This window comes from Homo sapiens, chromosome X (assembly GCF_000001405.40).
Source record: "Homo sapiens chromosome X, GRCh38.p14 Primary Assembly".
NCBI lineage: Eukaryota > Metazoa > Chordata > Mammalia > Primates > Hominidae > Homo > Homo sapiens.
This window is the reverse complement of record NC_000023.11, coordinates 135,140,783-135,154,484: the sequence shown is the minus strand read 5'-3', so window position 1 is coordinate 135,154,484 and position 13,702 is coordinate 135,140,783.

The window sequence follows — 13,702 nt, the reverse complement described above, 5'->3', positions numbered from 1 at the left end:
ACAATCCTACCGTATATGCTCTCCTACTGTGGACAGCCTTCCATCTGTTCTCTAACTCCCTCTTCTCATGCACCCTGGCTTGCAGGAGGCCTCCTTGGAACCATTTTTTGGCAGGCTCCATGCCTGCCTTCCTAAACTTGGGTGCCCTGCTCTACAGGGATGGGAGGGCTAGAGAAAAAGGCTCTCTGTTGCCTTTGGAACTGCTCACAGAACTGGCTTTTAGTCACCATTTCATTGTAATAGTCACCTAGGACAGCCTGGGTTAAATGCTTCATGAGTTTCTTTCCAGAGCTGCTGGCCTGGCCAGAAGAGTGAAGGGTTGGGGTTGGTTAAGGACTATCAGTCTAAACATCCATAACTGAGGACTCAGATCAGTTAGCACTCTTGTTGGTCTCATAAGGGGGAGGAAAAGAGTTCACCCTGCTGGGGCAACGTCATCCTACCGTGGTTTCACTTTCTAAGAGCATTGCCCCAGTCGACCCTAAATGAGGTGAATTAGAAACTTCATTCCCCAAATCCTCTGCATAGTTGAAGGCCTACTGTATATACAAAGGGTGAAAAGCATAACCTTATTGTTGAAGTTCCATTGAAAGAAAACAAAAGGTGGCCAGGTGCATGGCTCACACCTGTAATCCCAGCATTTTGGGAGACCGAGTTGGGTGGATCAACTGAGGTCAAGAGTTTGAGACCAGCCTGACCAACATGGTGAAACCTTGTCTCTACTAAAAATGCCAAAAAATTTAGGGAGTCGTGGTGGCGCGCGCCTGTAGTCCCACCTACTTGAGGTGGCTGAGGCAGGAGAATCCTTTGAACCCAGGAGCCCGAGGTTGCAGTGAGCCAAGATCCTGCCACTGCACTGCAGCCTGGGCGACATAGGGAGACTCCATCTCGAAAAAAAAAAAAAAAAAAAGATAAAAAAGAAAAGGAAAGGAAACAAAAGGAAAGGTACAAGCTATTTTGACAGCATAAAGAACATACTTCACAGTGGTTAGGAGGACTGAACATCTGTGTTCCCCAAAAATTCCTTTGTTGAAGCCGTAATCCCCAATGTGATCATATATGGAGGAGGGGCATTTGGGAGGCTGTCAGGCTTAGATGGGGTCATGAGACTAGAGCCCCATAATGGGATTTGTATCCTTAGAAGAAGAGGAAAAGAAGCCAGCATTTGCTTCCACTCCTCCATTGGAGGAAACAGCCAGAAGTTGACAATCTTCGATCCAGAAAGAGGGCCCTTGCCCCGAACCAAATCAGTCAGCACCTTATTCTTGGACCTGCCAGCCTCCAGAACTGTGCAATATAAATTTCCGTGGTATCGTGTTATAGCAGACCAAGCTAAGACAACAGAGAGCTAACATTGACATTCTGTAACAAATAAAAGCCATCCATACACTCATTGTGTTTTCAAAAACAAAGATATGGATTGGGAAAACTCCCATCACATGAGGATCCCAAAATTCCCATGGATGGGAATTGTCCCCATCCATTAAATCATAATGAATAATACATGTATTGATACATGTCATCTAAACCTTGTCACTCTATTCTGATAGAAATGTTTGTCTAAACACTAGTCCAGTGTTTATTTACACTTATTTCCAGTGTAGCTTTTGTAATGGAAGGAGTAACATTTTACTCCATGGTGCAATTCATGTACACAAGGGAGGCTGAGTCACTGACATGCAAGAGAACCCAACTTATTGGCCTATAATCGTTATAAGTTTCTGCTGTGGTCACACTCCTGGGGACAGGTTGCAAAGCCAGGAAAAAGTTGAGTTGAGCCGGGATCTAGTGTCTTCAAAACTACAGCTCTTACATTTACAGCCAGCTGCAACATAATTCTGAATGAGGCCCAATACTGTTTAGGTAGATGCACAAAGCAAAGCAAAGTAGTCAGATTTGGTGTGAATTGCCTTAAAACCAGATCCTTTCTCAGGTTGCTGGAATGGTTCAGGATCTTACCCTTTTCTGATTCAACTAATTGCTGTGGTATTTATTGAGAACCTACCATGTGCCCAGCACTGTTCTAGATGCTGAAGGCCCAGCAGATGGAAAAAGCAACCACGAACAAAAGCTCTGCAGTCATGAAGCTGACATACAAGTGGGAAGAGACCGACAATAAATACTCTGATAAGCATATGAATAAGTAAGAATTTCCGTCTAGCAGTTAGTGACAGAAAGAAATGTAAGCAGGTGATTCTGATAAGAGGTTTTTGATGGCAGTGACCACGAACAGATGGTTTTCAATATTTTCAGTCGGAGTCAGTTTCCCTGATTTGAGAGTGAAACATGCAGGTCACTAGAAGCCAAGAAGGCGAATCACATGGTTATATCTTTGCTGGAATCTGGCACTGAATGATTGCTTCATGGATACTTGTGAAGGTGTGCATTTTGTTCATGGGAGACAGTTAAAATGTGAGAAGGTTTAATGGGGTGCATGGCATCCTTGTTCAGAATTGCTGTTAATCTACTTTGTGTCCAGCCCTTGTATATGCCAAGCACTGGGCTAAGGGCCTTGGGACACACACGTCATTTAATGCTCACAAAGAATCCTATGAAAGAAGTCCCAGTAGCGTCGTGTCCATTCAACAGCCAAGTCAGGGACACAAACAGGAAAGAGGGGGCGCACAGCTGCTCTGTGGCCCAGTGGAATTCATCCCCTGGCATTCAGGTCCAGCAGCCATTTCTTATCTGATGTGTTCCGGGCCTCTGGAGGCACCTCCTACCACAAAGATCATTCACAGTGTTTCCAGCAGGTTGGTATAGAAGAGCCCCTTCTTTGTTCTGCAGTATTCTCTCAGCAGGGACCTGTCTTCCTGGTGCTGGAATCTACCTGTAGCTTCTCTGCCAACAGAGTTTGAACCCTGCAGAGGAGGCTGAGTCTGACTTAGTGAAGTTTGCCAGAGAAGGCTATTTCTTACCTCTTTCTAAGGCGATTTCTTAGCACCAATCTCTTGCTGCAGCATCCGTTATTAGCTCTATTTGTGCCAGCAGGGACACATGGAAGGGTTTTGGGCATGTTTTCATATGTCTGAGTGGCTGCTGTCTCTTTGGTTCTTTCTGCTTTCTTCTGTGCCATGATGGAAACTAAAACATTTGACCCAGTGACTTTTTTTTCAATCATTCTTTAGAGGTGGTGAGACTACAGGTATGTTTTCAAAGGATTGATAGTTTTTGCTGATGGATGGCGTGAAGAGTGTAAAGAAAATGGAGAAAACTAAGGGTTATGGCAGGGATATGATGTTAACCCACTGTGTGAACTGAGCTGACATCGTCTGAGACGGAGAAGTTTTAAGGAGGTGCAGGGGTTGAAGGAAGCTCAGGGCACGTGAAATTTTGGACACCTTACCCTTGAGTCGTCTATGGGACAACCATGTGTGTGACTCAGTATATATATGGGATTGGGAGTTACCTGCCGTTAGATGCCATGGGGCTGGCGTGTGGATAGAGAAGCCATTCAGGGCCTGGGCCCTGGAGCAGTCTCGTGGGATCCTGATAGGAGGAAGATCTCGCAAAAGAAGCCGAGAAGGAGCCTTTCTAGGAGAGGGTGGTCACACAGAAGACCGAAGAACTTATTTCAAGAAATGGGGAGTCCTCAACTCCGTCAAACACTGAGAGGTTGAGTGATGAGAGCTTAGCATATTGACCACTGGATTTGGTGACCTGGAGGTTTCCTGCCATCTTAAGAGCAAGTTAGGGGCATGATGTCGGTAAAAGCCTAATGCCAGAGGAATAAGGAGGGAATGGGAGCTCAGCAAGTGAGCAGAGGTGATTCTTGAAATAGCATTTGCTGTGGGGGACAGGATGCAGAGGAATGGGACTGAAGGGGAAATGAGGCCAAGGAAGCTTATTTATCTATGCACATTTTTAAAGATGGGAGTTACTTGTCTGTGACGTTTTTAAGATGGGTGATTCTTGTGTATGTTTGCATGTTATTCCATTAGAAGCAAAGATTCAAAAAGAATGGTTGTTGACGCAGGACGAAGAGAGACAATAGCAACAGAAGCGACATCCTCAGAGAAAATGTGTCAAGAGAATGGTTCCATGTGCTCAGTGGAGGGTCAGCCCTGGGAAGGGGCTGATATGTCCTTTCACTGTTACAAGAGAGAAGGAAGAGAAAGCCAGGATGGGTGTCAGGAGGTTCGCAGAGGAGCTCCTGTCTCACGGCCTTTGTTTTCTTTTTTAAAAAAAATTCTTATTATTTTTTGAATTGGAGTCTCGCTCTGTTCCCCAGGCTGGAGTGCAATGGCGTGATCTCGGCTCACTGCAACCTCTGCCTCCTGGGTTCTAGCGATTCTCCTGTCTCAGCCTCCTGAGTAGCTAGGATTACAGGCACACACCGTGCCCAACTAAATTTTTGTACTTTTAGTGGAGACGGGGTTTCACCATGTTGGTCAGACTGGTCTCCAACTCCTGACCTCAGGTGATCCACCTGTCTCAGCCTCCCAAAGTGCTGGGATTACAGGCGTGAGCCACGGCGCCCGGCTATGGCCTTTGTTTTCTCAGAGAAATAAGAGGAAATGTCTGCTTATCTGTGTGTCCTAATTTTTCATTGACAATCATAGAATATTGGAGTAATCAAAATGTACAAGAGCAGTTGTTGTGGGTTCAGTTTCGCCCCTAAAGAGTTATGCTCAAGTTCTAAGTCCCAATACCTGTGAATGTGACTTTATTTGGAAATAGGGTCTTTGCAAAAAAATAAAATAAAAAACGAAAAAGTCAAATTAAGATGAGGTCCCACAGCATTAGGATTGGTCATACACCACTAATCTAGTGAGTGGTGGCATTATAAGAAGAGGGATATTGGACACACAGACACACAGGTAAGAGCACCATCAGATGAAGGAGGAAGTGCTTGGAGTGATGCATCTGCAACCCAAGAAAAGCCACCAATGACTACTGGTAACCTCCAGAAACTTGTAATAGACTCTCCATCAGAGCTCACCAGAAGGAACCAACCTCACTGACAACTTGATTTCAGACTGGTAGCCTGCAGAACTGCCACAGAATAAATTTCTGTTGTCTTAAGCCGCCCAGTTGGGGTAATGTGTTTTGGCCTCCCTAGGAAATTAACACAGCTGTGTTACATTTAGAAGCATAGATAACCTCAGATTGTGGAAAATCATACTTCCTGGGGGTAATACAGTAGGATTATTGGGTAGTATTGAGTGGTCCCTGTGAAATGTGTGTCCCTATTTTGGTATGGGTCTATATAGCTGCATTTGGTGTTATAATTTATGCAGCAGAGTTCTGTTACTTGGGTGCAGGTGGAGAATAGTTGGATAGCTGGGCCTTACTAGACTCCAGTTTTGCCAGCGGAGAATGACAAAGTGAATGAAGTTTGACAGGTGATGGTGTTTGCAAAGGAGATGAAACAGAGGAGGGAGGGTTGGGGATGAGAAATGAAACTTGAGGGGAAGCCTGAGGTTTGACTGTGAGGACGAGAGGAGTCGGGGAGCAGAGAGGCCGGGGTGTCTTATGGGTCATCCACTAGGAGAGTGACACAAGTAGTGGTATAGAGAGACACAAGACCTTGGTGCACAAGACCTCAGTGAAAGCAAATACAGGGGAAATACCATGACATTGGTATGGACGGTTGTAAAGACACCAATTGTGAAGTGGTATGTGCTATGAACTAGGCTATTCAAATGAGAAACATGAAAAGTGATTTAAAACTCAATGGATTGAATCTTCATCAGAAACCTTTGAACAGGAAATTCCACTCCTAAGAGTTTATGCTGGAAACATAAATGAAGCAGGAGAATTTATTTCTCTGTGTGTGTGTGTGTGTAAGATAATAAATATACATGTTAAAATGTACATACATGCATATACACACACACATACATACATGCGTATTATGTGTCTTCATTATCAACCTATAATCAGTTGTATTCCATGTAAGCCACCTCCTCTTTTTAAGAAACATCATGAGATGTTTCAGGTCTGTACATATGAAGATGTACATATAGCCTACTTGGCCAGCCCCACTGACCCTGATACCCTGCACAGTTTGCACAGATAGGCCACAATGACCACTGCTCAGTCATAGTGTGACCTCCTGAAACATGTGTCTGCCTGCTTTAAGCCCACCAATTAAAACTCCCCACGGGAAACCCGTTTGGATAACCCCTGGGATGCGCATAAGGTTGTTGGCCCACGGGTCCCTTTCTCTCTCCCTGCCTGGGCTCCCTGCCACACATGTGTGCCCTCCAGGTGTGCCAGGTACCCTCCAGGATCGGCAAGTGATAAAATGCCTATTTCCATCTGTGTCTCTTCTAATCATTGGAGGGGTGCTCTTTACCTTAAATATCCTATATTAAAACAGGTATTCAGTCCCACAGGGGAAGAAATCTCTCCAGGGGATTCAGGCTGGGATGCAAGCAACCATAGCAGGCAGTAAGGGGCAGTGCATGAGGGTGTTTGTGCAGCATATCAAGACATGTTATGTAGATCACGACAAGCCACAAGAGGAGGTTCTTGCCAATGCACAGTGGTGTTCTAGAGAGAGACCATGCTCCCTTCTTCTTTTCATTAACTTCACTTGGATTGATGCCAGAAAGTAAACATCTGTACTTCTCCGTAGTCCAGAAAAGACTGGTCTTGGAACTTGAGTTTGGGGGTGAGCACAGAATCGTTGGGAACATCTCACCATGATGGCATGTCACCAATTGCCACCCACAACTGTATATTCCCGAATCTGGGCAAAGCGACACATTTTCAGACAACCCCATCAAGTGGATCTTGTGCAAATGGGACCTGAAGGCACAAGCAGGAATGACGAGTAATTTGCTCACACCTCTCCCCTTCTCATGCTTTATTCAAAACTATGTCTTCACAGGGAGTTATACCTGATCTTTAGTACTTTTGATACACAGAAGCTGAAAGAATAGTTGGCGCCAAGTAAGGACCAGATTCTGTGTTGGAGTTATTTGAATAGGCAAGACTCTCAAAACGTGTCCAGAGAATAAACACACACACACACACACACACACACACACACACACACACACACACGTGTAATTTTGGTAATCTCCCCTATGTTCCTATGCATTGGCATTTGCCCTCTCAGCCCATTGTGCTTACTATGATATCCCAAAATAAGGAAGACTGACTGCCATCCTAGCTGGCCTCCTAATGTTGTGGATTTGGGTCGGTGTTCTGAGCTCCCCTCACCTCCTCTTATTTGTATGCAGAACTGCTGTACTGCTTCTGATCCACTTGGCCAAGAACAGCAGTGGGCTGTGTCTAGTGAATTGCTATGACTTTCTCAGTCTCCCCATCAGTCAGACACAGCCTGTCCTACAGAATTCTGGAAAGGTCTCTTGTAGACTCCATTCTAGTATCAACTTGGGGACTACAAGTTTTTCTGTTAGAGTGTTGAGCCAACACACGTGGAGTGCACTTTATGCCAGAAGTGAGACATCTTGACCTCTCCTCCGTAGCCCAGAAAACGCTGCTCTGGGAACTTGTACTTAGACATGAGCATGGAATCTGTCATGATTACAGATGTGTGCCCCTTCCCTCAACGTTTTCAGATTTTACACCCAACGGGGAGAATTCTCCTATCAGGGAACATTAATAAAGTGCCATTTACGGCTTCTACATTCAGGCATACCTCATCTTACTGCACTTCTCTTCATTGCACTTTGCAACTACTGTGTTTCTTCGAAACTGAAGGTTTGTGGAAACCCTATGTCGAGCAAGTCTATTGGTGCCATTTATCCAACAGCGTGTGCTCACTTTGTGTTCCTGTGTCACATTTCGGTAACTCTTATTTCCAACTTTTTCATTCCTGTGATATCTGTTATGGTAATCTGTGATCAGTGATCTTTGATGTTACTATTGTCATTCTGTTGGGGCACCAAGAACCACACCCATATCAGACAGCAGCGAACTAAACGAATGTTGTGTGTGTTCTGATGACTCCACCGACAAGCTGTTCCCCATCTCTCTCCTTCTCCTCAGGATATCTTATTCCCTGAGGCGCAACAATATGGAAATTAGGCCAAGCAATAACCCCAAAATAGCCTCTAAGTGTTCAAGTGACAGGAAGACTCACAAGTCTCTCACTTTAAATCAAAAACTAGAAATGATTAAGCTTCCTGAAGAAGGCATGTCAAAAGCCAAGACGGGCTGAAAGTTAGGTCCCTTGCACCAGTCACCCAAGTTGTGAACGCAAAGGGGAAAAGTTCTTGAGGGAAATCAAAAGTGCTACTGCAGTGAGCACACCAATGATAAGAAAGCGAGAAACAGTCTGATAGCGGTGTGAAGAGTTTTAGTGGTCCGGATAGAAGGTCAATCCAGCCACAACATTCCCTTGAGCCAAAGCCTAATCCAGAACAAGGCCTAGCTCTCTTCAGTTCTATGAAGGCTGCAAGAGGTAATGAAACTGCAGAAGTAAGCTAGCAGATTAAACCGTTTCCATAACATAAAAGTGCAATAGGCACCAAGGCAGGGTGGCTCATGCCTGTAACCCCAACAGCTTGGGAGGCCGAGTTGGGAACATTGCATGAGGCAGGGAGTTTGAGACCAGCCTGGGCAACGTAGTGAGACCCTGCCTCTACAAAAAAAAAAAAAAAAAAAAAAAAAATTAAAATGAGCCAAGGGTGGTGGCACACACCTGTAGTCTCAGCTACTCAGGAGGCTATGGTGGGTGGGGGATCACTTGAGCCCAGGAGTTCGAGGCTGCAGTGAGCTGTGATCATGCCACTTTACTCTGGCCTGGGTAAAAGAGCAAGATGCTGCCTCTAAAAACTTGAAAAGAAAATATTTTCAAAGTGCAAGATGAAGCATCAAATGCAGAAGTTGAGGCTGCAGCACGTTATCCAGAGTCTCTGTTTTGGTACCAGAACCATGCTGTTTTGGTTACTGTAGCCTTGTAGTATAGTTTGAAGTCAGGTAGCATGATGCCTCCAGCTTTGTTCTTTTGGCTTAGGATTGACTTGGCAACACGGGCTCTTTTTTGGTTCCATATGAACTTTAAAGTGGTTTTTTTTAATTCTGTGAAGAAAGTCATTGGTAGCTTGATGGGGGTGGCATTGAATCTATAAATTACCTTGGGCAGTATAGCCATTTTCACGATATTGATTCTTCCTACCCATGAGCATGGAATGTTCTTCCATTTGTTTGTATCCTCTTTTATTTCATTGAGCAGTGGTTTGTAGTTCTCCCTGAAGAGGTCCTTCACATCCCTTGTGAGTTGGATTCCTAGGTATTTTATTCTCTTTGAAGCAATTGTGAATGGGAGTTCACTCATGTACAACTATGTGATCTTTGACAAACCTGACAAAAACAAGCAATGCGGAAAGGATTCCCTATTTAATAAATGGTGCTGGGAAAACTGGCTAGCCATATGGAGAAAGCTGAAACTGGATCCCTTTCTTACACCTTATACAAAAATTAATTCAAGATGGATTAAAGACTTACATGTTAGACCTGAAACCATAAAAACCATAGAAGAAAACCTAGGCAATCCATTCAGGACATAGGCATGGGCAAGGACTTCATGTCTAAAACACCAAAAGCAATGGCAACAAAAGCCAAAATTGACAAATGGGATCTAATTAAACTAGAGAGCTTCTGCACAGCAAAAGAAACTACCATCAGAGTCAACAGGCAACCTGCAGAATGGGAGAAAATTTTTGCAACCTACTCATCTGACAAAGGACTAATATCCAGAATCTCACTGAACTCAAACAAATTTACAAGAAAAAAACAAACAACCCCATCAAAAAGTGGGCGAAGGATACGAACAGACACTTCTCAAAAGAAGACATTTATGCAGCCCCAAAACACATGAAAAAATGCTCATCATCACTGGCCATCAGAGAAATGCAAATCAAAACCACAATGAGATACCATCTCACACCAGTTAGAATGGCGATCACTAAAAAGTCGGGAAACAACAGGTGCTGGAGAGGATGTGGAGAAATAGGAACACTTTTACACTGTTGGTGGGACTGTAAACTAGTTCAACCATCGTGGAAGTCAGTGTGGCGATTCCTCAGGGATCTAGAACTGGAAATACCATTTGACCCAGCCATCCCATTACTGGGTATATACCCAAAGGATTATAAATCATGCTGCTATAAAGACACATGCACACGTATGTTTACTGCAGCACTATTCACAATAGCAAAGACTTGGAACCAACCCAAATGTCCAACAATGATAGACTGGATTAAGAAAATGTGGCACACATACACCATGGACTACTATGCAGCCATAAAAAAGGATGAGTTCATGTCCTTTGTGGGGACATGGATGAAGCTGGAAACCATCATTCTCAGCAAACTATCGCAAGGACAAAAAACCAAACACCGCATGTTCTCACTCATAGGTGGGAATGGAACAATGAGAACACATGGACACAGGAAGGGGAACATCACACACCGGGGACTGTTGTGGGGTGGGGGGAGGGGGGAGGGACAGCATTAGGAGATATACCTAATGCTAAGTGACGAGTTAATGGGTGCAGCACACCAACATGGCACATGTATACATATGTAACAAACCTGCACGTTGTGCACACGTACCCTAAAACTTAAAGTATAATAATAATAAAATTTAAAAAAAGAAATAAAACAAAGAAATTTCTTCCCCCAAGATATCTAAAAACATGACATGGGAAATCTTTGTATTTGTAAAAATAAACAATTAAACAGATGGTACAATGAAAAAAAAAAAGATGATGAGGGTGGCTACGCTGAACAACAGATTTTCAGTCTGAATTAGACTGTCTTCTATTGGAAGATGTTACGTAGGATTTTCATAGCTAGGGAGGGGAAGCCAATCCCTGCCTTCAAACCTTCAAAGGACAGGCTGACTCTCATGTTAAGGGCTAATTCACCTAAACATATTCAGTTGAAACCAATGCTCGTTTATCATTCCAAATATGCTAGGGCCCTGAAGCACTATGCCAAATCAGCTCCACCCATGCTCTATAAATGGAACAACAAAGCCTGGATGACAGCACACCTGCTTACAACATGGTTTGCTGAATATTTTAAGCCCACTGTTGAGACCTACTGCTCAGGAAGAAAAAGAAAAGAGAGATTCCTCTCAAAATATTATTGCTCATTGACAATGCAATGGTCACCCAGGAGCCCTGATGGAAATGTACAAGAAGATGAATGTTGTTTCCATGCCTGCTAACACAACATCCATTCTGCAGCCCATAGATCAAGCAGTAATTTTGACTGACTGCCAAGTCTTATTTAAGAAATACATTTGATAAGGCTACAGCTGCCATAGGGAGCTGGACAAAGTAAATGGAAAACCTCCCCTGATGGAGCTGGACAAAGTAAACAGAAAGCCTTCTGGAAATGATTCACCATTCTAGATTCCATTAGGAACATTCATGAGTCGCAGGAGGAGGTCAAAATATGAATGTCAACAAGAGTGTGGAAGATGTTGATTACAAACCTCTGGCTGACACTGATGGTTAAAGACTTGATTGGAAGAAGTTACTGCAGATGTATTGGAAATAAAAAGAGAATTGGAATTGGAAGTGGAGCCTGAAGATGTGAGTGAATTGATAAAACTCGAATGGATGAGTTGCTTCTTACGGATGAGTGAAGAAAGTGTTCTCTTCAGATGGAATCGACTCCCAGTGCAGAAGATGTGAACGTTGTTAAAATGACAACATAGGATTTAAAATATTACATTAATGCAGTTGACAAAGCAGGTGTGTGTGTGTGTGTGTGTGTGGGTGGGGGGGATTGTTGAGAGGATTGGGTGCAATATTAAAGCAAGTTTTACTCTGGGTAAAATGCTATCAAACAGCATTGCATGCCACAGAGAAATCTTTCATGAAAGGAAGAGTCAATGAATGTGACCAACTTCATCGTTGTCTTCTCTTAAGGAATTTCCAAAGCCACTCCACCCTCCGGCAACCACCACGCTGGTCAGCCAGCAGCCATCAACATCAAGACCAGACCCTCCACCAGCAAGAAGATGATGACTTGCTGGGGGCTCTGACCATCGTTAGTCTTTTTTAGCAATCAAGTATTTTTTAATTAAAGTGTGTATATTGTTTTGTAGACATAATGCTATCGCTCACTAAATATATTTCTTTATACGGTAAATGAAACTTTCATATGCACTGGTAAATCAAAATATTTGTGTGGCTCACTTTATTGCAGTGGTGAAGACCCAAAAATGCAATAGGTCAGAGGTATGCCCGTAATTGCTTTTCCTTGATTCTTAAAATCGCATGTAATATTTTGCAATGGCCGTGTAACAACATGGAAACATTAGCCCATAGTTTTCTGAGTCTCAACACATTACAGCAGTCCTACAGCAGTGGGGAAATTCACCTGGAGGACTCTGAGTCAAAGCATGGTCCCATGACATTAGCTCTTCATGGTTTTGACAGGGTTTACCTTAAGGGATGCTGTGAGTTTGGGTGTGTCTTTGTCTTTCAGTTGTCTCCATTGTGTGTTATACGTGCATTTCTACTTAAAGAACTAATTTTTGAGTTTTACTTACTGGACATGTCAAAATGTCCATGTATTGTATTTGTATCCTTCAGGTAAAAGCAGGGGTCTCACGCTGATTGGTCCATCCAGCTGGTGTCATTTCTCTGAGAACTGCCCACTGCATACACACCCTTGTGTTTGCTATTGACTGAGTCCCCTGGCCGTAGTTACTTGGTTTCATACTTTTCACCTCAACCTAGCGGAGTCGATCATGGTTTTGTCCTGCCAATTTTGGAGCTCTGGACTAGACTATATGACTGAGTATTTTCCTGCTCAGTCTGATGATACCATTTCTTTACAGAAAATGTGATTTAGAAGATCCACTGTTGAGTTCTCCTGAGCTACCTGCGTTCTTGTTTTTATCAAGCTTATCAGTTGCTTCTATTTCTCAGATTTTGTAGAATAGTTATGGTCTTCTGATAAAAATTTGTTGTAGAGTTCCCACTCATGGATTGCTGTCAGTAGCCAACAGCACAAGTGTGATCAAGGAAACTTGTGGAGCTGCCACATGCATCCTCACATGTACCAGCACAGAGCTCTGACCTTTATAATCTTGTGCACGGAGGTGAGGAGATTGGTGGCAGTGGTGTAGAGGTTTCCAGATCAGGAGGGATGATCTCCCGGTTCTTGAGGTAAGAAATATGGCAGTTAATTGATACCTCCCTATGCTGGCTACCCATATGCTGAAGAGTGAAACTGGACCCCTCCATTTCACCATACACAAAAACCAACTCAAGATGGATTAAAGATTTACATGTAAACAGATAATTATAAAAAAAAAAAAAAAAATCCTAGAAGACAACCTAAGAAATGCCATTCTAGACATAGGCCCTGGCAAAGATTTCATGATGAAAACACCAAAGACAATTATGACAAAAACAAAAATTGAGAAATGGGACCTAATTGAACCAAAGAGCTTCTGCACAGCAAAACAAGCTATCAACAAAGTAAACTGACGACCTCTATAATGGGAGTAAAATTTGCAAATTCTGCATCTGAAAAAGGTCTAATATCCAAATTCCATAAGCAGCTTAAAGAAATTAACAAGCATAAAACAAACAGCCCCATTAAAAATGAGCAAAGGACACGAACAGACACTTCTCAAAAGAAGATATACGCGTGCCACAAGAAGCATATGAAAAAATGCTCAACATCACTAATCATCAGATAAATGCAAATTAAAACCTCAGTGTGAGACCATGTCACACCAGTCAGTCAGAATG